General features: G+C 43.0%; 2 protein-coding genes across 6 annotated transcripts in view, besides 2 other annotated features; both read right to left on the bottom strand.

Annotated features, from left to right (window-relative positions):
- RANBP2 (RAN binding protein 2) overlaps positions 1 to 23819 on the bottom strand; it is a 1122820-nt gene that overhangs the window by 32787 nt on the left and 1066214 nt on the right. The window lies entirely within an intron of this gene.
- The window catches only part of RGPD5 (RANBP2 like and GRIP domain containing 5), a 97088-nt gene that overhangs the window by 48191 nt on the left and 25078 nt on the right, over positions 1 to 23819 (bottom strand). For 3 of the 5 annotated variants that reach the window (XM_006712794.5, XM_047445980.1, XM_017005081.3), the window contains exons 2-6: positions 7665 to 7732; positions 5972 to 6083; positions 5384 to 5536; positions 1111 to 1341; positions 620 to 765 (exon numbers count right to left, since the gene is read on the bottom strand). In XM_006712794.5, the coding sequence (XP_006712857.2) occupies positions 620 to 765; positions 1111 to 1341; positions 5384 to 5536; positions 5972 to 6083; positions 7665 to 7732 (710 nt within the window). Of the gene's footprint in view, positions 1 to 619; positions 766 to 1110; positions 1342 to 5383; positions 5537 to 5971; positions 6084 to 7664; positions 7733 to 14977; positions 15351 to 16525; positions 16758 to 23819 lie in introns of those variants that run through there. The other 2 variants (NM_032260.3, NM_005054.3) reach the window with 2 other exon arrangements.
- Positions 17436 to 17935: an enhancer, noted in NCBI's record as "H3K4me1 hESC enhancer chr2:110549157-110549656 (GRCh37/hg19 assembly coordinates)". NCBI's record gives its function as "activates a minimal SCP1, AML or CMV promoter by ChIP-STARR-seq in naive H9 embryonic stem cells {active_cell/tissue: H9 hESC(naive)}" and the evidence as "EXISTENCE:reporter gene assay evidence [ECO:0000049][PMID:30033119]".
- Positions 19734 to 20235: an enhancer, noted in NCBI's record as "H3K4me1 hESC enhancer chr2:110546857-110547358 (GRCh37/hg19 assembly coordinates)". NCBI's record gives its function as "activates a minimal SCP1, AML or CMV promoter by ChIP-STARR-seq in primed H9 embryonic stem cells {active_cell/tissue: H9 hESC(primed)}" and the evidence as "EXISTENCE:reporter gene assay evidence [ECO:0000049][PMID:30033119]".

Below are 23819 nucleotides of genomic sequence, written 5' to 3'. Positions count from 1 at the left end.
AAAATTAGGCAGGGGCCATATTTGGCCCACAAGTTCTAATCAACCCCTGCTCTAAACTAACATCTTTATACAAATCCAAGTGATGTTTTTGTTCAATGGAATTTATTTTCAAAATGGAGACACTGGTTTTCAAAATCAAAATTTAGGAAAAAAGGTAAATCACATAGTTGAGTTATTTTGTTTCTTAGCTAAAACAGTATTTTCTGAAATACCAGTGATGCTAAGTGCTTATACTAGTACATGTGAACCTAGCCATCTGATGACAGATGAACTTTAATTTTCACTAAAGATTATACTATTATAAAAAAATAAAATATGAAATAGCAGTTAGAACATTCATTTTAAGCTTGACTATGACAAAACTGAGTAACCATAAGGCTAATTTTAATCAAGCTTGAACTATAAGAGTTCTCTAAAAAGGAAAGTCATATAAAACCAATTAGAACTTCCCTGTAAAAGAAGAAAAATAAGATTGCCTCCTAGTGGTTCACTGTATTAACTATAACTCCTAGGTACATTATAGAAATAATGATTCAGTGAAGAAATTTAGAGCAATGAACTTACTGCAAAAAGAAAAACTGCAATTTGTACTAAAGCATTCTCCTCAAAGTCTACGCACCTTTCCAGTAATTCTCTATTTTCCTGCACATCTCTAGTGGAAAGCGTAAGAAGCATAAGATTAGCATAGGCCAGCAGTAAGTCTGTATTGGTTGCTTGCCAGTCACTTTTATCAGACTCCAAACACTGTAAAGACTCCAGATATTCCTATTTTGTGGAATGAATAGTAAGTTACAAAACTTAATCAAGTGTTAAGTAATTAACCATTTTATGCCTACAAATTCCTTTTCTCACTCCAACCACATTTGTGAAACTACATTGATTTTTACATCAACCTTATAAATGAAAACACCAAAAATATATACATTTATCATAGTTATCTCCCCAATCTTCCCATTATAAATTTAACTGATCCTGGTAAAAATTTCATTTTATAACTGTTCTACATAAATAAAAGAAATTTAAGTCCTGCGGGGCACTGCTGCTTTAGTACAAAAAGATGTATGCTAATTGCCTACATAGAAATGTAAAGACTCAATAGCTTTTATCTACCTTAAGGGTCTGTACAACACACGAATTCCACTCTAAACTTGAACGCAAAGCTATGTTCCTCTCTGCCTCATGGCAGTGGGCCACAGCATCCTTCAATCTTTTAGTTGAGCGATACAACTCCACTAGCCGGATGTTCACATGGACGTCATCAGGTCTTACATAAAGTTCTGACTGAATCAAGTCAAAAAGTTTATTCCATCCATCTTCACCTTCACAATCTAGAAGCTGTTCCTATTTAGAGAGGAAAAAGAAAAATTATTAGAGTAACACTTGTGCAACTTTAAACAAGTCATGCTCCCAAAAAGCACCATTCCACTATGTCTAGTTTTATGATGATGCCACCAAAAACACCATCCTAAATACCTTATTCGTCCCTTCTGAGAGTTGCTTACAACCCAGAAACTAAGCCTCAAGAACTGTATGTGAAGAAAAGCATCTGTGATTACTGCAGTAGCTCATACTCTCTTCAGAGACTACCAGGACTAATGCCACACATTCCTGTCCATCTGAGTCACCACCAGAAGCCTAGACCTCCCCAGTCAATCCTCAGCAACAAGGTCCTTATGTTCAAACTGCTCTGTATCTCCTTAAATCTGATTCAATCCTGCATCCCCTCTCCTCCCACTGTTCTGTTACCTTTATCATCATCTCAAAGCACTGTCATCACCTCCTGACCTTAAATGAAGACAGTATCATCTCAGGATAACCCCCACTACCATGATGGCTTTTTCTCTCTGAACTTACATACGAGGAGAGGAAGTAGGGTTTGTGGCCACTCGCTTCTCATTTGCGATGCTCTTCCATCAGCCTCTCAAGAAGCTAGGACCATAGGCATGCACCACCATGCCCGGCTAATTTTTTTTTAACGTTCTGTAGAGATGGGGTCTTGCCGTGTTGCCCAGGCTGACTACTCAGTTCCTTAATCACCTCATCTCCAGTGATGTTATCCTCTACTCCAACCTCAACCATCCACTTGCCACTGACACAGGTCTTCAAAATCTGCATTTTGGTCATACCACCGAAACCACCATACCACCCTTCTTATTCTTCCACCTCACTGAGGGCCTACATACCCTTACTTTCAGAAATATACTTCTCCACCATATGACAAGTTCCCTTCAAGACAATAACATCATCAAGTTTTAAACACCTGTAAACACATATAAATACACACACTTTCTTCTGTCAGGCAAAAAATGCTATAATCCCTTATATCCATAATTACTGTTTGCTTACAGATCCCTTCAACTAATTCCCTCTTTTCCTCAGAAGAACCCTCCCAACTGGTTTCTGTGTGCTTAGATTTGGGAAATCATAACCCCAAGCTAACTGATTTCATTTGCATTATCTCAACCATCAAACTGGTGCTGCCTAAAACAAAATACCATTTTAGTACTAACAGACTCACTTTCTCCACTCCCTGACACTTCACACCTCCTCCTATTTCCTCAACTTCCCCATACCTTCCTTTGACCCTCACTTTCAACTTATAACCTAGATTCATCCTTCACTGAGAAACCTGATGCTATCACATATAAATTCCATTTTACCTTACCTACTTAAACTCGTCTTTCCCCAACTCTCAAGACCAAGCCGCCCATTAGTACTCTGTATTTCATTCCCCTCTCTCCTTTATCAATTTCTCCTCTTCTGGATGAGATGGATGAAACCCTGGCCTCTCCCTATTGCAAAAGCCCTAGTCTTTGACTCTATGTTAAACATTTTTTTAAAAACCACTATGAGTGCTTTTAAAAAGTTCTATCTCATACTTGAGAGAAAAAGCCTTCTCAACAGTAATACTCTCATTCATTAAACAAATGTCAGAAACTGTTTACCTTAGCAAGCCTTAAATTTTAGGAGAAATGGAATTACTTTGCATGACAGTTATAAATCTCATGGATTTCAATTCCAAAAAAAAAAAAATCTGATACAGGAAAGGTGTAACAGTGCCTTCAAGTTATTAAAGAAAATCTTTAAAGAGTGCTTCAAAGTATCTAACTTGTTACACTGCAAGAAAAGAATCTCCTGCCATTACATATGTTCTTTAACACTACTGACACCAGATTAACTGGATTGCCACGCCCAATATGGGAGTTATGTTTGAGGCATAACACCTAAGAGAGTAAAGAAATCTGCACAATTAGACCTCACGCTTTAGACTAACATTTAAAATCCAGCTGCTTATTACTGGGGAGAAAAACTTATCAGTAATATTTATCTTTGGAAGCATCTTCAATGCTTTTTCAGCTTCAAAAATCTGTACATGATTGTTCATAGCAGTTGAACAATAGCCAAAACCTAGAAATAACCAAAATGCCCCTCAAAAGTGAATGGTTAAGGCTGGGCACAGTGGCTCACACCTGTAATCCCAGCACTTTGGGAGGCCAAAGTGGGTGGATCACCTGAGAACCCGGGAGGCAGAAGTTGCAGTGAGCCGAGGTAGCACCACTGCACTCCAGCATGGGCAACAGAGCAAGACTCTGTCTCAAAAAAAAAAAAAAAAAAAAAAAAGTGAATGGTTAAATTGTGGACCATGAAATACTACTCAGAAGTAAAGGAACCAACTATGGATATACAAAACTTAATATGGATCACAAATGGTATTATGCTGACTGAACAAGCCAACCTCAAAAGGTCACATGCTTGGCTGGCCGCGGTGGCTCACGCCTGTAATCCTAGCACTTTGGGAGGCTGGGGTGGGCAGATCACAGGAGGTCAGGAGTTCGAGACCAGCCAGTTTCTACTAAAAATACAAAAATAAGCGGGACATGGTAACATGTGCCTGTAGTCCCAGCTACCCGGAAGGCCGAGGCAGGAGAATCGCTTGAACCTGGGAGGCGGAGGTGGCAGTGAGCCGAGATTGCGCCAGTGAACTCCAACCTGGGCAACAGAGCGAGACTCCGTCTCAAAAACAATGAAAAAAGAAAAAAAAAGTCACACATTTCATGATGACATTTACATAACATTTTGAAATCACCAAAGTATAAAGATGGAGAACAGATTAATGGTTGCCAGAGGTCAGGCATAGTGAAGAGAAGTAAATAGCATGACTACAAAAGGGGCAGCATGAGGAAGATCTCTGTGGTAACAGAGTAGTTCTGTATCTTGACGGCAGTGGTGGTATGAATCTACACGTGATAAAATGAAAGAAAACTATACATACACATTGTACCAATGTCAAAATTCCTGATTTTGATACTGTGCTTTGGTCAGGTTAAACAGGTTGAGTATCCCTTATCCAAAATGCTTGAGACCAGAAGTATTTCAGATTTTGAACTTTTTCAGACTTTAGAATATTTGCAGGATACTTAGCAGATAGAGCATCCCAAATCTGAAAATCTGAAATCCAAAATTTTCCAATGAGCATTTCTTTGAGCATCATGTCAGTGCTCAAAAAATTTCAGATTTTGGAGCATTTAGGATTTCGGATTTTAAATGCTCAACCTGTATAAGCATTGGGGAAAAATGAAGTAGCATATAGGATCTTTCTGTGCAAACTTTGCAACTTCCTGTGCAAAAAAATCTATAATTATTTCAAAATTAAAATTTTTTAAATTTCTATCAGAAACATATATGATGGGGGTAGGAGGAAGCTAAAGGCAAATATACATTTATAATTTTATATTGTACACACACAATAAAGTATACATTAATATATAAAACATTACAATATACATTTTAAATGTTTGCCAAACATATTTGTGTAGATTTCTCCAGAACAGTTACTTAGTAAACTATATTTTACTCTATAAAGAATATCAGGACCAGTCAACACACTAGCAAGAACTTCCTACCATTTTTAGTAATTACGTCTTATATACTACAGAAACCACCTTTTATCTTTTGCTTGAAAACCTTACTATCTCAAAATACAATCCCTTCTACTTTCAGACAATAGTTATCAGAAAACTCTTCTTTAAAATATCCCTAAATTGTCATCCTGTAGGTAATTTTCACTTAATGAAGCAAAAATTGTATATCAGACAGAACTTAATGTAAATCTTAGCTCTACTTAGTTTACAGCTACTAAACTGTAAAATCCCTAAAATATTAATTATTCCAGAAGGGTAAATGAGATGTCACTTATAAAGTATAACAATGCCTAATAAGACAGTAGATGCTCAGAAAGGTTTTAATACACTTTTTAAAAGAAAAATGTTAAAGGAAACACAAACACCTGAGCTTAAGGTTTGCTATTGAAAAGTAATTTAAACTCCAAATATTAGAAATGGTTATGTCTTAAGTTTTCTCCCTTTATGTTTTGTTTGTTTACCTTTAGTTTATAAATTGCAGGACTTCCTGGGAAAAGTTTTGCTGCTCTTTCGACCCAGTATTTTGCTCTTCCATCAGTAACATCATTTTTACAAAGCAATTCTGCAATCTTCAACACAAGATCTTTTTGTGTTGGGTTTAATTCCACTGAACGCTAATATCAGAAAAGAAATTAAAGATTAGTAAATAAATTGTATGTATGTATGTAGGAGTATATATACTTATACATAAAGGTTAAAAATTATCACTCCAACCCTTAAAAAATTCTACTTCTAGAGAAAACATGTTACTTTAAAGGTGTTAAAATAAAAGTGTCTTGGAATTTTCTAGAAATGAATCAAATAAAAATTATATTTGTGTCATTTGAATGCAAAAAACACAAAAGAACACCATTTCTGACCGTGTTAGACTTACAATTTATAGGTGTTAAACAATTCTAAATCTGTTCCAAGCTGTATCACATAATTGTACTATGATACCAATGCCTGTTTTATGATATTCATAAAATATATTTGACTTACTTATATAAATTTCTCTGGGCATCATGTGTTTGGCTACGCAAAGGCTATATTTGAATCTTATAACTTACCCTGTAACATTCAACGGCTTTCTCTGTGTTTTCTTCCAATTCATAAAGAAGACCCAGAAATCTGTGAGCTTTGGGATCCCTCTCTTGCACATTAATGTAAGTACATATGTATCTGTTTTTTAAAAGTAATACAAAAGTAAATTAAACTTAGAACTGTACTTTTAAATGCTAACCGAAGAATACATCTTAAACCAAAGCAACCACTAAACTCGTTTATATTGTTACTCAAAACTACCACTATTTATGCAGATAACTCAAAAGTATTCATAGAAAGAAATGGGTAATACTTAAAAACACGTACATAGAGTTGACCACATACTCATTTTACCATTAAATGTCACATTTACCAAATTTTTCTCCAGTGTTAACCACACATAAGAAATGAACATATAGATTGCTTTTTCTTCCTGATCACATTTTAATAAAGCACTAACAGTTTTGCCAATAAATTAGAAGTGATTATAATAAACATTTTTAAAGTTATCATAATGCAAAATACTAAACAGCAACAATTTCCCAAACAACAAAGGGAAATACATTTACCCTTTAAGCAAGAAAGTAATTTCTAACAGTACTATATCCAGCTAAAATCGAACAGAAGAAAAATTACTAATTACAGTACCAAATACAGGAAATTTCCATTTCTCAAATCAAGTAACAACTAAAATAAGTAAATATCCTCTAGGTTCCTTGACAGTATTACGATCAGAGAAATTAGGCCAGACCTAAACTAAGGGATTAAAGTCTCACAGTAAAAAGGTACAAGAGTTAACAGTCACAGTGCTGCTAGTTACATAATTTATGTACCACCATTTTCCTTTCTTACCAGCATTTCCATCTTCCTTTGGATGCCTTTAAAAGCCTGCCTCCCAGCTGGGAGCAGTAACACACACCTGTAGTCCCAACACTATGGGAGGCCGAGGCAGGCAGACTGCTGTGCTCAGAAGTTCAAGACTAGCCTGGGCAACATAGTGACACCTGTCTCTACCAAAAAATGCAAACCTTAGCCAGGTCCACGTGGTGGTGCGCATCTGTATCCCCAGCTACTTGGGGCGCTGAGGTGGGAAGATCGCTTGAGCCCAGAAGGCAGAGGTTACAGTGAGCAAAGATGGAGCCAGCTGCTGCACTCCAGCCGGAGCAAGAGAGACAGATACTGCCTAAAAAAAAAAAAAAAGCCTGCCTCCCTCTTAATTTCCTGCTTTAATCCACTCCCAGCCAGGAAATCAGAATCACCAAGCTTCTCATCCCTAGGATAGAGCCTTAGAGCATCACATATTGTGTCAGTTAAAGATCTTTTATACAAGCTATTCTCCTGCCTTACAATTACAGTTTAATTTTTTATTCATTGCTATTTTCCATCTGATTAAGGTATCAGATATCTAACCAAAAACAAATTAAGATATAGGCATGGTCCTCTTTTACTCCAACAGAAGACAATTTTTAGAAAAAGTGTTTTAAGCCAAACAATTTCTTGCCCTTGGTATAAAGCAGCAGCATGCAGAAAACACTAATTACAGTTTCAATCTCAATGGAATCTAGGCTGGTCCTTAGCATCAGTCTGAGTGATAAATCCCTTATTCCAGAATACACTTAGGAAGAACTACTAAGGACATATTTTTACCTATTTCAAAGAAGAAAATGAGAAAAGGCATTGATTTTAAAAAAAAGAATACATGTTACGGTTTGTACTTACTTTTTAGCAAGATCATATTCTTTAGCTTCATAATACAGCTTTGCAAAATAGAATCCTTTCATTGACTTCTAAAAAAAAATTAAAAGTTGTTTTACGTTTCATACAGAAATATTTTCCAACATTTTTTCAAAAGTAGTTAAAGCCTGACAAATGCATAATTCCATGTTTTATAATTTCCTACCACAAAACAAAAAATAGAGCTGGGTGCAGCAGCTCATGCCTGTAATCCCAGCACTTTGGGAGGCCGAAGTGGGCGGATCACCTGAGGTCAGGAGTTTGAGACCAGCCTGGCTAACATGGTGAAACCCCGTCTCTACAAAAATAGAAAAATTAGCCAGGCATGATGGCGGGTGCCTGTAATCCCAGCTACTCAGGAGGCTAAGGCACAAAAATCAGTTGAACCCAGGAGGTGGAGGTTGCAGTGAGCCAGAGGTTGCAGTCAGCTGAGATCGTGCCATTGCACTCCAGCCTGGGCGACAGAGACTCCATCTCCCAAACATCATCATCATCATCATCATCATCATCATCATCATCATCATAAATAAGCTGGGTGCAGTTGGTCACACCTTTAATTCTATTTAATTCTAGCACTTTCAGAGACCAAGGTGGGAGGCTAGCTTTGAGGCCAAGAGTTTGAAACCAGCCTGTGCAACACAACAAGATCCTGTCTCCAGGGGGAAAAAAATAGCCAGGCATAGTGGAGCATGCCTGTGTTCCTAGCTACTCAGGAGGCCAAGGAAGGAGAATCACTTGAGCCCAGGAGGTTGACACTGCCGTGAGTTATGACTGTAACACTGCACTCCAGCCTGGGTGACACAGGGAGATCCTCTCTCTAAATAATAAATACATAACATACAAAAAATAAATTCAAGAAAGCAAGACAAGCAGACAACAGAAGTTAAGAATTTTCATCAGCCTTGGAAATCTTGGAAACCCTGTGGTACCACTCTCTCACTTAACAAACAAAAGAAACCAGCTTTCTTTGGGGAGGAAAGGTATTCCAGAAATCTCTTCTCCTACCATGTGTAAGCCTCTATGGGAAAGAATAAGTAAGTACTTAGGATCTATTAAGGCACTGAGGATTCCCGGGTCCATGTACTGTTCTCTCTACAGATCAGATCAGTATTTTACAGTCAAGGAGTCAAAAAGGCAGAAATAAATATTGAATTCTTCAAGTAATAAACGAGGTCCACAGCCTGGATCCTTGGTTACATAAACTCCAAAGTCCAAAATGCTGATGCACACCAGGCTGGGTGCGGTGGCTCACATCTGTAATCCCAGCACTTTCGGAGACTGAGGCGGGTGGATCACTTGAAGCCAAGAGTTCGAGACCAGCCTGGCCAACATACAGAAACCTCCTTTCTACTAAAAATACAAAAATTAGCTGGGCATGGTGGCACACGCCTGTAATCCCCGCTGCTTGGGAGGCTGAGGCAAAGAATCGCTTGAACCCGGGAGGCAGAGGCTGCAGTGGGCCAAGATCGCACCACTGCACTCCAACCTGGGCAACAGAATGATTCCATCTCAAAAAAAAAAAAAAATGCTGATACAACCAGAGTATGTTCCATCCATGTGATAGAGTATACAGCTACTCAAACATCTTATTTTTGAAATTCCAAGACCCCAGTGAATGTCCAAAAACGATGAATAGTACCAAACCAGGTTGCCATCAATCGAAACATGCTTCCTGTTTGTGTCCTCCACCCACAAATTTAATGTCTTGTCCATCTCAACTAAGCACTTATCACACACTGTGGCTGTAACTTTTGCAGTTTGGGGTGTCACAACAAAACTAGCACAAATTTCTTTTTCCTTCTTCACAATTTCATGGACAAAAGATTTGTTCTTACCATAGATCTCAGCAACCCCAGTATATGATCTTTTTTCTTTCCTAAGTCAAAAACTCACCTCTTCACTTAAAGGAAGCACTATATGGCTTCTCTCTGGCATATGTGAACTGCCAGCATCACTATTCTTGCTCTTTGGTGCCATTTTAAATAAAATAAAGGTTACTTGAACACAAGCACTGCAATACTCCAACAACTGATCTGATAACTGAGATGGCTAGTATGTAACTAGCGGGTGGGGAGCACATACAGCATGAATATGTTGGACAAAGGGATGATTCGTGTCCTGGGTAGGACGGAGCAGGAGGCCGTGAGATTTTTATCATGTTATTCAGACCTGTTTGCAATTTAAAACTCATGAAATGTTTATTTATATAATCTTCCATTCAATATTTTTGGACCACGGGTGACGCAGGTAAGTAAAACCACGTAAGGCAATACTGTGGATAAGAAGGGACTACTGTACCAGCAACGAACAATCAGAAAATGAAATTAAGAAAGCAATTCCATTTACAATCGCATCTAAAAGAAAAAAATGCCTGGGAATAAATGTAAACAAGGAGGTGAGAGACTTGTATGCTTAAATTACAAAACCTTGCTCAATGCCAGGCTAACACCTGCAATCCCAGCACTGGCGACAGAGCAAGACTCCGTCTCAAAAAAAAAAAAGAACTATAGCAATCTTAACAAAAATAATACACAACAGTCAGGACAGCACATAAAGGAACAAGGCCTGTTCCCCCCTTCCTTTTTTTTTTTTTTTTTTGAGATGGAGTCTTGCTCTGTCGCCAGGCTGGAGTGCGGTGGCTCGATCTCAGCTCACTGCAACCTCTGCGTCCCGGGTACAAGCTGGGACTACAGGCGCATGCCACCATGCCCAGCTAATTTTTGTATTTTCAGTAGAGATGGGGTTTCACCATGTTGGCCAAGATGGTGTCGATCTCTCGACCTTGTGATCTGACTTCTTCCGCCTCCCAAAGTGCTGGGATTACAGGCATCAGCCACCGAGCCCGCCAGTTCCCCCTTTTCAAAATGAAGAAATAGATTCAAGGTACAATGCCAAAACATAATAGAAAAATAATTCCATTACCTTCTTTGCTTCCAACTATGTTAAAACATAATAGAAAAATAATTCCATTACCTTCTTTGCTTCCAACTATGTTATTAAAGTAGACAATCTTAAGATAATTAAACAACTTTACAAATTATTCTTCTATATGATCTTTTGCCTCTAACCTGCTCACTTTACAAGGGAACTGAAGCTCAAGCAGGCAAATGCCTTGTTTAAAGATATACAGCTAGAAAGGAGCACAGCCCATGTTATGTAAACAGGACAATATCTGATGCAAGCAGTACTTCTTTACATGACAGCAGATGTCACTATAAGCAAATACCTGAATTCACTTAAGCTGTCAAATATCAAGAACTGATGCAGGGCTGAAAACAGGAACAGTAAGACCCTAAGAGATGCCACATCATCGCTATCTTGCACAGTAAGATAGAGATGTAATTGTAATTGTCCAAAACTTAATATTTGTGGCCTACTTTTTCATTATGCAGTTCTAAATTTCTCTCTCTTTTTTTTTTAATTCAAACGGAGTCTCACCCTGTCGCCCATCTTGCACAATCAAATGAATCTCCCTCCCCCTAAAATCCTCCAAAAAAGCTGCTGTTCTCAACAAACCCATCTGATCAGCTCCAAATCTGTGGAGTCCCAACAAGGGTGAAGGCCGTGATTATACAGGACAATGAGGAAAAGTCTAGATACTGAACCATGAGTTCCCCAATCTTCTTCCCCTGGAACATAAGGGTAAGGAAATCTCTCAAAAGGCAGAACAAACAAAAGAGGAGAATAAGAGAAAAATTAGAGAAACTCCAGCTTTCAGGTAAACATCATTAAAAAAAAGGGTAAGAAATGGTTAAAGAAATAATACAAGAAATGCTACAGAACTGAAAGAAATGAGTTTCCCAATTGAAAGGACACTTCCAGAAAACCTTTAAGTTACCAAGAACAAGAATCTCATGGGACTCCTAACAACAGAACTTCTAGAAAATGAAGCAATGCTTTCAAAATTGCGAAAAAAATTATTTGAAACTCAGAATTCGATAACCAAATGATCAACTAAATTAAGTAAAGATGTTTTAAAGACATACCATTAGTTTCTAGACCAGCCTGACCAGTATGGTGAAATCCCATCTCTACTAAAAATAGAAAAAATTAGCCGGGCATGCTGGCGCACACCTGTAATCCCGCTACTCGGGAGGCTGAGGCAGGAGAATCACTTGAACCTGGGAGGCGGAGGTTGCGGTGAGCTGAGACCATGCCACTGCACTCCAGCCTGGGCAACAGAGCAAGACTCTGTCCCATAACAAAAACAAACAAAAAAACCTCTCATCCACTTTTCCTCAAAGCAAGTGAGACTATGCTACACCAAAACAAAGAAAGTAAATGAAGAGGACATGAGATACAAGAAACAAAGGGTCTAACTCAGAAAAAAGATGAAGGGAATTCTCAAACTGGTGATAAAGGGAAGTCCCAAGAGCACAGCTGTGTAGCAAAGAGGAAGAAAAACCAATCCGGGTTGGAGAAGTTGGTTAGTAAGGGTATTCCAGGTAGACAGACAATCAATCAATCAATCAGTGTTTTAAGCTGAAATTGATGGGATTATCTGACCAGTTTGACCACATTTGAGGGTTTAAATTGCTGAGTTTAAGTAAGCAAGTAGTAACACAACATACAAGCAAACCAAAAAATAAAGCAATTATTCAGTCCAGGAAAACGTGGGTGCAGCACACCAGCATGGCACATGTATACATATGTAACTAACCTGCACAATGTGCACATGTACCCTAAAACTTAAAGTATAATAAAAAAAAAACAACAAAAAACTGCACAACAAGGGCAATTCAAATGCAAAAATATTTACCTTCTATTTATATAAATGTTAACTATTCATTTAAACAAAAACTGCAGTAACAGTACTGAAAGAATGAGGGGCAAACCAAAGTGTCTGAGGACAGTTTTGGAGGAGCATAATAGCCAGTACAGAATGTCTAAAATGGGGCCGGGCGCGGTGGCTCACGCCTGTAATCCCAGCACTTTGGGAGGCTGAGGCGGGCGGATCATGAGGTCAGGAGATCGAGACTATCCTGGCTAACACGGTGAAACCCCGTCTCTACTAAAAATGCTAAAAAATTAGCCGAGTGTTGTGGCGGGTGCCTGTAGTCCCAGCTACAGGCTGGGGCAGGAGAATGGCGTGAACCCCGGAGGCAGAGTTTGCAGTGAGCCGAGATCGCGACACTGCACTCCAGCCTGGACGATAGAGCGAGACTCCGTCTCAAAAAAAAAAAGAAAAGAAAAGAAAAGAAAATGTCTAAAATGGGAGAAAGGGAATTAAAAATAACAAAAGTATATATGTGTGTTACTCAGAAGTATGAAGTATAGATGTAAAGGGCAGAAAAAACAACTAACAGCTGTCAAAGGTGCCTGCCTGTAGTCCTAAGTACTCAGCAGACAGAGGTAGGAGGATCATTTATGCCCAAAAATTTGATGGGCAACACAGCAAGACCCTATTCTAAAAAAAATACAAATAAAAATAAGAGCTGTCAAGTAGACTTTGAGAAGTAGGAATCAGCTGCAGAATAAGAAACCGACTTGACAGAACATAGAAAAACTAAACAGAAGCCATCTGGAAAAAGAAAAACTAGAGAAAGAATTATATTTTTTTTCTTTTTTTCTTTTTTGGAGACAGAGTCTCGCTCTGTCACACAGGCTGGAGTGCAGTGGCGCAATCTCTGCTCACCACAACCTCTGCCTCCAGGGTTCAAGCAATTCTCCTGTCTCAGCCTACCGAGTAGGTGGGACTACAGGCGCTGCCACCACGCCCGGCTCATTTTTGTATTTTTAATAGAGACGGATTTTCACCATATTGGTCAGGCTGGTCTCTCGGCCTCCCAAAATGCTCGGATTACAGACGAAGAATATTTTTAAGAAGGGCAAAAGCACATGTGAGGGAGTAGAAAAATGGCAAAACAAGAGGAGACTAACAAATGAAAGCGCAATGGAAGACTAGAAAGATATGATATACAGACGCATCATCACACTCCAAAACTCCGACATTCTAGAAAGCATGGGCAGTTCACAGATGGCCAGCCTCTGCCAAACTGGGGGAGAATACTAACCTCTTCATATTCTTCACAGCCACTGCCTCTTCTCCCTCCATTCTTTACCTTCTATCCAAAGCACCCTGTTTTGTCATTTCACTCAAACCTAACTTCACAGAATAGCTTCACATGTTCCAGTTACTCACTAGTTAATCCATATTCCGCTGAAATCCCCAGGTTCTAATGTAAATGACTTTAAATTTGGGGGAAAAAAAAGACTCTAAATGTAAGAGAGGTGTCATAATAACCAATCGTCAAAATTCTGCCACCACTCCACTTTATTTAATGGAGAAGTTATGTAGTTGAAAGAACATTCTAACTTCTGTCTAGACCAGTGGTTTTTAATCTTTTGGAAGCCAAGGTCCCCACTAAGAATCTCAGAAAGGCTCCAAACTTGCTTTTTTTTTTTTTAAGCTTGTTTAAAAAAAAAAAAATCAGGCTGAGCAGAGTGGCTCACACCTGTAATCTCAGCATTATTTACATGTAAAGAGGAAAAATACCCTTAAAACATCTGTGGAAAAGGTTAAAAATTGCAAGCCATACTAACGATTTGTAAGAACTTTAGAATTTTTTTTTTTTAAGCAAAGGCAGCTACCAAAGTGTTCCGGGCGGGGAGGGGGGCGAGGGAGGTGAGTATGAGGAGTGGAGTGGAGCTGGACCCTTACAAAGGGACAGCGACAAACACCTCATACTCAAAACAAGGGGACTTTCCGTGTCATTTGCGCCGTCGGGCCATTGCAAATGTCCGCGCTGAGATGCCTACCTTGTCACTCGACGCAGCCGCCAAAGCTCACCCGGAGCTGCGTCAGTCCCCACTGGGTTCCTCCAGGCCAAGGAGGTACGACCTCCGCCGCAGCATATAAAGTAAATGTCCAGGAGATGGGAAGAAACCCGCCGATACAGCACCCGGGTGCCCAAGCCCCCGAGAACTAGGCCGCGCGGGTACTACGGGGTGCGCGATCGGCCAGAAAGCCCGGGCCAGGACGGGCCCAGGAGCGAGCACCGTCGGGAACAAGCGTCGGGAACAAGCCGGGATTAAGAGGAAGCGCCGGCGCCAACGGTCTCCCGCCCGCCGCGGTCCCCCCAGGACTCTTCCTGCGCTTGCAAGCGCCACGCCGCCCACAGGACTGCGCCAGCCGGCCGGCGCCTCAACAGAGCGCGCCACGGAGCAGCGCCCCTCGGGAGACATGACGCCTGAGCCATCGAGGCGGCCGCCGCCGCCGCCCCCCCCGCCGCCGCCGCCGCCGCCGCCGCCCCCCGGCCGGGTCGAGGCCGCCGTCGCTCTCTTCGAGACCCACTCACCTGTCGAGGCGACGGGGTGAGACCCAGCACCGAGGCGACGTACCGCTCCACATCGGCCTTGCTGCGCCTCATCGCGCCGCCAACCTGGCTCCCGAGACGCGTGCGAGCACCGCTCAGCCCCGCAGCAGTCGCCACTTCCAAGAGGAAAGTGCCTGCAAGCCACTGAAGCAGCGGCGTAGCCGGCGGAGGCCCACTGTGACGAGCGTGCGGCGCCGCCCACGGAGGCCCACTGTGACGAACCTGCGTTCTGCCTCAGCACTGTGTATCCTCGGCGACGTCGGCGCTCCAGCTGCACTCGGCCGGGCTCGTGGCGCCGCCCTGTGGTCTGAGGGTGTCTTGACATGATCTTATCTATAGAAAACCTTAATGAAACCTCGAAAAAAAAAGACCTAAACTATCAGTGATAATAAATGAGTTCAAAGAGATTGTACCATACGAGGTCAACTAAAAAAATGAGATGTCTACTTATACACCAGCAAGGAACAATTCAAGTAAAATTAAGTAAACAATTCCATTTATAATATTATCAAAAATAATAAAATAATTATGAATAAATTTAACCCAAAAGTGTAAGACTTGTAGACTGGAAACTACAGAACACTGTTGAAGGAAATTAAAGAGGAGCTAAATCAATGGAAAGACATCCTGTGTTCATTAATTGGATGTAAACATGTCTACACAAAAACTTGTATACAGGCCAGGCATAGTGGCTCACGCCTGTAATCCCAGCACTTTGGGAGTTTTTGATGGGAGGATCACTTGAGTCCAGGAATTTGAGACCAGCCTGGGCAACACAGCGAGACCCCCATCTCTACAAAAAAGAAAAAACAAAAACAAAAGAAAACCTATACATGAATGTTTATAGCAGTACTATTTTTATTAGTAAAAGGTGGAAACAATCCAAATTTCCATCTACTGAAGATGGATTTTTAAAATGTGGTATTATTGGGCACAGACACACGTGCCTGTAGGCCCAGCTACTGGGGAGGTTGAGGCAGGAGGGTCGCTTGAGCCGGAGAGTTTGAAGCTGCAGTTTGCAGCTGCAGTGATGCTCCTTGATCCATGCAGGAGCTGTGATCAGGCCTGTGAAGAGCCACTAAACTCCAGCCTGGGCGACATAGTGAGATCTCTGTCTCAAAGAAAAATGTGGTATAGCCATACAATAGAATATTACTTTTGCATAAAAAATAATGAAGTACCAATGCATACTACAACATGAATCAGCCTTGAAAACATTATTCTAAATTAAAGGTGCCAATCACAAAACCTCATATATCATTTCATTTATATGAAATATCCAGAGTAGGCAAACTCAAAGACACAGAAAGTAGACTAGTGATTGCCAAGGGCTGGGTGGAGGGGAAATCTGGGAGTGCATGTGACTGCCAACGTGAATGGAGTCTCTCGTTGGGGTGATAGAGATATTTTGGAATTAGATTTTGGGGAAGGCTGTAAAACATTGCAAATTTACTAAAAAAAAAAAAATCATTGAATGAAATTAAATCCTATGGAGATGATAGGTATTTTCATTTTGGCCAGGCAATCTACCTGATTAGGTTCAAGCCACAAGTTCCCACCCCTCCATTCTGCAGTCTGGTTCCAAAGTCAGTTCAGTGTCCAGAGTCTTCACAGGACTATTCAGTTCTGTCTGACTTGTGCACCACCCAGTGGCCAGTTGTGTCTGTGGGTGATGGTCTCTCAGTTCAGCTGTCAATCTTTGGTGTGTTGAACAGGACGAGATCTATGCAGGAGCAGCTCAAGAATGAGCCCTGGGGTTTATAGACAGGTTAATGGGGTTGCTTCACTGATTAACTCTCTCTCAGCAATTACCCTGTTGCTTTCATTTGCTGAGGCTTCTCTTTTTAGTCTTCCAAGCAGAAAACAGGCTTTCGGTATCTGGCTCTACCATGCATTTCTACATCTGAAGCCAAGCAGTGGGAGGACTGAATTGGAAGAGAAGCAACATGGATTGTTTCTGCCCTCTTGGGACCACAGCTCTGTCAGTTGGAGAAGGTTCCCTCCTGCGTCTTGGCTCCTGGGCTCCTCTTGGGGCTGGTGCCAGTGCCACTGTGGGACTGCTTGTGGGCTGAGGTATGAGAGAACAGGGAAAAGAAAAATGGGGAGGAACGAACTTCTGGATTCCCTCGGAATGTTAGGAGACCCTTTTCCCGTTACTTGAGCCAGAAATAGAGGGCATCTTCTGGAGCTCTTTCTATCTGCACCCTGGTGCCCACTGCCAGGTTAGTCACGGGATGCCATAGGGGAAACATGGTTATCTCACCACCGGTTTGGTGGTACTTCAAGTTCTGGTCTTCTTGGGAAAGCTGCCTGCAACTATTTAGTTTTCAATGTCTTCCAATAGCTGCTCCATGCATTCTGTACTGTCTCCTGGCTGGACTCCATGCAGGAAGCCTGTCTCCTCCACAGTGTGCACTCACTCAGGTCATTGCTAAGTTTTATTGTTGGCATTTGTTTGCTTTAATTTTTCAGACTGACTCCCTAGAGGTCGCTTCTTGTTTGCATAGTTCGTCAGTCAAACATCAGTTAAAGCCAATATGGTTTCCACCATCTGCTGCTGGATCTATGTGCAATGGGGAGGAGGCACGCCCCGGGCCATTTGCAAGGGTGTTCCGGCTTTTACTTCCTAACACTGGCACCGGCACACACACAGGCTGTGTGCCCTGGGCATATGGACATGGCTTGGGCTTGCTCTAATCTCTGCCAGCTATGAGCCTTCAGTCCATTTGGGTAGTGTGAAGAGTTTACTAAGCTCCCTCTGGCTCTCCGACCTCCCGGAGCTCCCTCTTACATCCATGACTAATCTGCAGGTCGTTTGCTCGTCTCCAAAGGCCCAGAGCCTCAGGCTAGGAGTCAGTGGCCTTTCTTCCTCCTGGTCACTGATATCACCACCTTAACTAGCCATGCTGCAAATCAAAACCTTCCTCACTCTTGCCTCCAGCCCCTGCAGCGAGGTGGCAGGGGAGCTTATCTCCACAGGCTGCCCTGCTGGGGGCCGCTGTGTGTGTTATCAACAGCTGGGGTAAATGGGGGTAGCAGCCTGGGCAAAGATGCCACGGACACAGGCTGGTCTTATCCAAGGCTCACTTTAATTCTTCTTTTTTTTCTTTAGGGACAGGGTCTGTCTCACTCTGTTGCCCAGGTTGGAGTGCAGTGGTGTGATCACAGCTCACTGCAGCCTCAATCTCCTGGGCTCAAATGATTCTCCCGCCTTAGCCTCCCATGTAGCTGGGACCACAAGTGTGCACCACCATGCCTTTTTTGATTTTTTTTTTGTACAGACGGGGGTCTCACCAAGTTGCCCAGGCTGTTTTTGAACTCCTGAGCTCAAGTGGTCCTTCTGCTTCAGCCTCCCAAAGTGCTGGGGTTACAGGCGTGAGCCACCGCGCCTGGCCAGCTTTCATTCTTAAACACATCCCCATTTGTGCCGTGCCTTTGGTAAAATTGCAGAATGCTAAATGGTTTGTCCAGCTATACAGTTACATTTTGGAAAGATTTGTTGACCTCCTCACTTCATCATGCTAGAAGTGGGAACTTTGATTACTCTTTAAAGAATCTGAAGATGAAGGGAAGACCAACGCATAATTTGAGAGAATGGCAAGACTGAGAAAGGTTTCTGTAGCATGGTGCATGCATGTGTGTGTGCGTGTGTAGGGAGAGGCAAAGGGTTCTGACAAGAGGAAGAGGCTGAGGAAGCAGGCTCATCTCCACAACATGCTGCTGCCACCCAATCATAGGGTCTCTTGCAGCAATTCCAGTCCTGATCTCACAAACCTCATACCCTAACTACGGTCCCCCTAATTGGGGTCCCTCCTCAGAGCTTTCCTAAGGCTCCCTAACTTTTCCCCTCACCTCGGTTGAGGCCTCCATGGTTTGGACTTGCTGGTTTTGCCTTGCTCTTCCCTTGATAAATACACCATTTATTCCGGTTCAGCCCTTGGAACTTTAAACCTTAACCCAAGCCTCCTCCACCCCACTATATTAGCCCAAGCCTAGAGTATCAGATCTGGATATTTGGGTAAAGATGCAGACAAATTTTGAGTTGGAAAAGAAAGAACTTAACTCATTACTAAAAGATGACCTTGATAGCTATATATATGGGAAACAAGAATGTATCAGGAAGTTAATCCTTTGCTCACACTACACCTGGTGCATGTAATTCCATCTCTGAGTTTTCCCCTTATTATTATTATCTTTTTTTGAGATGGAGTCTCACCTTATTGCCTAGGCTGGGGTGCAATGGCACAATCTTGACTCACTGCAACCTCCGCCTCCTGAGTTCAAGCGATTCTCCTGCCTCAGCCTCCCGAGTAGCTGGGAGGCTCAGACACAACCTCCTGGGCTCAAGTGATCCTCCCACCTCAGCCTACCTAGTGGCTGAGACTACAGGAATGTGCTGCCCTGTCCGGCTTGTTTTTGTTGTTTTAATTTTTATTTTACTTCCCAGGACTCTAAAAGACTTGCTGACCTATTAACACACAAACTAGTGCCCACTTCCCTACTCCCCATCTTGTCACTTTGTCCCCACCCAGTCCCTTGCTACCCCTCCCATCCCCTCAGTGTGACTAAGTTGCTGGAGGTACCCTGCCCCATCCTTAATTTCTTGCCCCAGGCCCTGCTGGGCCCCCCGTCTCTGCCCTGCCTGCCTCAGCTCCCCTCTGTCTCTCGGCCTTTTCACCTCCATGCTCCCAGCCTCACATCCTTGGAGCCAAGTTTGCCTCTCACAAAGCATGGCCCCCTACGGTCCCCAGCACCGCTGGTGCCAGGGCCATCCTGCCCCGCCATTGTGTCCTCACATTCCCCAACACTGAACTCAGGTTTCCCCTGGGGGGCTGAGCTGTCTTCCCTCAGTCACGCCTTCCTCCCCATGCAGGCTCATCCAGTCCCTCTGCCCTGCTCCAGTACCCTCTCCCCACCTTTCACCGTGGATCAGGCCCACAAGGTCACCTAGGGACGTTTTATATCCAAAGTAACATGACAACATCTCCTCCTGCACTGTCTAGTCACATGCTCTGAGGTCAACAGTGGTGCGTCCACTAATAACACATTTCATACTATTCAGCACAACTCACAACCCTGCAAACATAGATTAAAGGAAAAATGCCGGAATATGGGACGGATGGCTAAGCATTCTAATTTGAATGAGCACATTTAAAACTACAAGGGAAAACTATCACTAGGTTCACCTCAGAGGACATCTGGGTTTTCTTTCAAGGAAATGAGCAACTGGACACACTGAGACCCTCCTTCTGGGTTAAGGGCCCAGCATGCTTCCCCTGGGCTGCCTACCATATGCTGTTCTCCTCTCCCTGCTGTTCCTCAGTCTGACACACACACCTGCAGTGGTGGCCTGGTGAAGGGATGCACTTGCCTCCTCGGCACGAAAGGAAGATGGGCAAACAGGAATCCCACAAATGGCACCGTCAAAGTAAGAAGTGCGGCAAAATGAACTGAGGGCAGGTGCTGTCATTCGGCAGTCTGTGATTCTAAGACCTAAGACCAGGATTGCTTTTGAGACTGGAGTGAAACAGCAAAGACAGAAGACAAGAGTGACTCTGAGGCCTTTACTTGGCTTCCACACTAAAATGCCTTAGCCCCAGGAATCAGCTTCTCTTTTCTTCCTCTTCATATTTAGATGGTGAGAGAGGTAGCGTTTAAGACATACATTAGGGCCCCAGATGAGGGCCAGGAACAGGCTGGACCAAGACTCAGACAGCCCAGCTCCATGGCAACCTGATGGCCCCTGTGGGGGTGGACAGGTATCGGGTTCATTCTTTCTCAGGGCGACTTCAGCTCTTGGAAGGGAGGGTTCTGGTTAAGCCTCGGGTGGGATAGTTATGGTGAGTGACAGTTGCTAGAAGAACACTGTGACAATTTCTGTTATTTTCAATTGATCCAGTCTCTTGCCCACCACACAGACTCCTTGATGGAAAGCCCTTCAGGAATAAGAAAGGGTTCAGGTTCTCAGGGTAAAACAGGCTTTGCAATTCTCTAATTTGCTAATTGTCAACTTCTGAAGACTGTGTTTCCTCATGGTAGTAGGAGCTAGTATGAGTAATTTACCAGAGTGAAACAGGCGAGATTCCATGCACCTGCGGAAATACAGCCTGAGTTCCAGCACCTCCTTTCTTGAATTCTTGGATTTCTTCCTCAGCTCCTTTCCCAAGTCAGTTCATCTCTGACTTAACCCGCAACGGGCATCCAAGGGAATTATTCCAAGAAGTGTCCTCCCCATCACTCTTTACTGGTTTTTTGTTTCCTTTTTGATGTTGTTGTTTTTGTTTTGACACAGCACACAGCGAAACTGCTGCAGGAAGCAGAAGGATGTGTGTGACATATCATCACCTTCCATTTTGCATTAATAAACATCACCCAAAATTTGCCTATCCGCTGCTAAAATAAAGATCCAACAGAATAGAAACTCAACAGGAAAACTCACTGTCACTAAGGCCAACAAAAGACAAACTGGAGAAATACTAGTCATAAATACAGAAAATAAAGGATGGGTGAACAAATTGAGATCCGGCTTGCTGGGCGTCATGTGGAGACCGTGTGCAGGAAGAGCCAAGACACCAGAGCCGGGGGGGCTCCGGTGATCCCTGCCGCTCTCTGCATCCTGGGCTCATGGTTGGGGCCTGTCCCCCTCCAGCTGGTAGTGCCATCCTCTCTGTGCCCTACCAAGCTCACCAGTAAACTGCAGCTACAGGGCACATAGCATGGAAGAGGGTGACTTCGGGCAAGGTCTCTCCGGCTGGGGTGGGCCCAAGGAAACCTCCCTGAACGGAGGTGGCAGGTGGGGGACCCGCAGGACATCACTGTCACCAACGCCCCATTGTGATGCACCCACCTGCTGCCCCTGCCCTCGCATGCAGACCCCTGTGGCCCCCTGGACACCTGCGAGGTCCTGAAGCCTAGCGAGGCAGCTGCCCTGAGGCCTGAGCCTCTGCAGGGACCAAGGAACATGCCATGTACGTGACAAAACCTTTCCCTAAAGAAAGTGTCCCGTCCACCCCTTGAGGTTCTAGAAAACATTTCTTAAGACCCATTGAATGGAAGGACAAGATAAAAGGAATTGAATTTAAAACAGAGAATGAAATACTGGAGCTTGATTTCACTGCAGAGGAAAAACTGAGTCCCAGAGAATGAAGTTGTTCCCATCTGTGCGTCTTCACCTGGCTAAAACGAAGAGCTGGGCCTGCGCCCAAGGATGGGTCTCCACGTGGTCCTGAGAAATCACAAAGTGTGGGTAAAATATCCTCCCCAGAATGCCCCCAAAGAGATCCACTTGCGATGGGATCCCTTCCTAGGGAAAAGTAGCCGCGCTCACGCTGGTAAGCCAGCTAAGCTTCTCCGCAAATGCTCCCCATGGCTGACAGCCAGAGGAAGCCCATGGCCCCCTGGCCCCAGGGACCTCCTGCCATTCCCCATTCCCCTATTCAACAGCCTCCTCACAAACCACTAGCAAGCCCAGATCTCCTTGTGTCTCTACCTTCACCTTTCCAGAAGGGCATCTAAATAGAATAGTGCAGCCTCTTCTCTCCACCACTCTCACTTGGTCATATACATTGAAGGCTCACTCCTGCCTTTGAGCGACTTGACAGCTCATTCCTTTTCATCGATGAGTAGTATTCCATTGTGTGAATGTGCTTCAGCTTGTTTTTTATTCACCTATTGAAGGACATCCTGATTTAAAGTGTCTGGAAACTTAAATATCTGAATAGAGGGTGCTGTACATAACTGCATGTTTTTTTGTTTGGACATAAGTTTTCAAAGCAGTTGATGACCCAGGAGCACAGCTGCTTTCTTAGACCATATGGTGAAACTATGTTTAGCTTTGAGACAAAACTACCATTGGCACTGCCAGTGGCTGTACCATTATGCCTTCCACCCGCAGTGATAAGCTCCTGTTGTTCCTAATCCTCCATAGCAATTGCTATTGTCATTTTTTTATATTTGAGTTGTTCTAAGAGAACCAATAGGAATTTTATATTTATATACTTATATATATTTACATATATATACACACATATCTCTATATAGAGAGAGATATTTGTGCCCAGTGCAGTGGCCCACGCCTGTAATCCCAACGCTTTGAGAGGCAGAGATGGGTGGATCGCTCAGGAGTTCGAGACCAGCCTGGACAACATGGTGAAACAGCGTCTCTACAAAAAATTAGCCAGCGTGGTGGTGCACACTTGTGGTCCTAGCCCCTCGGGGAGGTGAGGTGGGAAGATTGCTTAAGCCCAGGAAGTCAAGGCTACAATGAGCCGAGATGGCGCTGCTGCACAACAGCCTGGGCAACAGAGCCAGACCCTGTCTCAGAAAAAAAAAAAAAAAGAGAGAGATTTATTATGGGAATTGACTCCCATGATTATAGAGGCCAAGAAGTCCCACAGTATACTGCCTGCAAGCTGGAGAACCAGGAACACCAGTGGTATAACACACAAGCCTGAAGACCTGATAGTCAAGTGGGGAGCCACTGGTGCAGTCTCAGAGTCCAAAGGCTTGAGAACCAGGAAGGACAGAAGACGAAAGCTGCAACTCAAGGAGAGAGAGACTGCATTGTTCTATTTGGGCCCCCAGTGCATCGGATGGCACTCACTCACACTGGTGAGCATGGCCCATCCTCAGTCTACCCATTCAGTGCTCATCTCTTCCAGAAACACCCTCACAGCCACACAGCTACCTCACTGTTGTTGTAACTTGCAATCCCCTGATGACATATGCTATTGAGCTGCTTTTGGTAATGCTTATTTGCCATCTTTATATATTCTTGGTGAGGTGTCTGTTCAGATCATCACCCATTTTTACTTGGATGGTTTGT

This window comes from Homo sapiens, chromosome 2 (genome assembly GCF_000001405.40).
Source record: "Homo sapiens chromosome 2, GRCh38.p14 Primary Assembly".
NCBI classification, from domain to species: Eukaryota; Metazoa; Chordata; class Mammalia; order Primates; family Hominidae; genus Homo; species Homo sapiens.
This window is presented reverse-complemented; position numbering and strand designations above follow the sequence as displayed.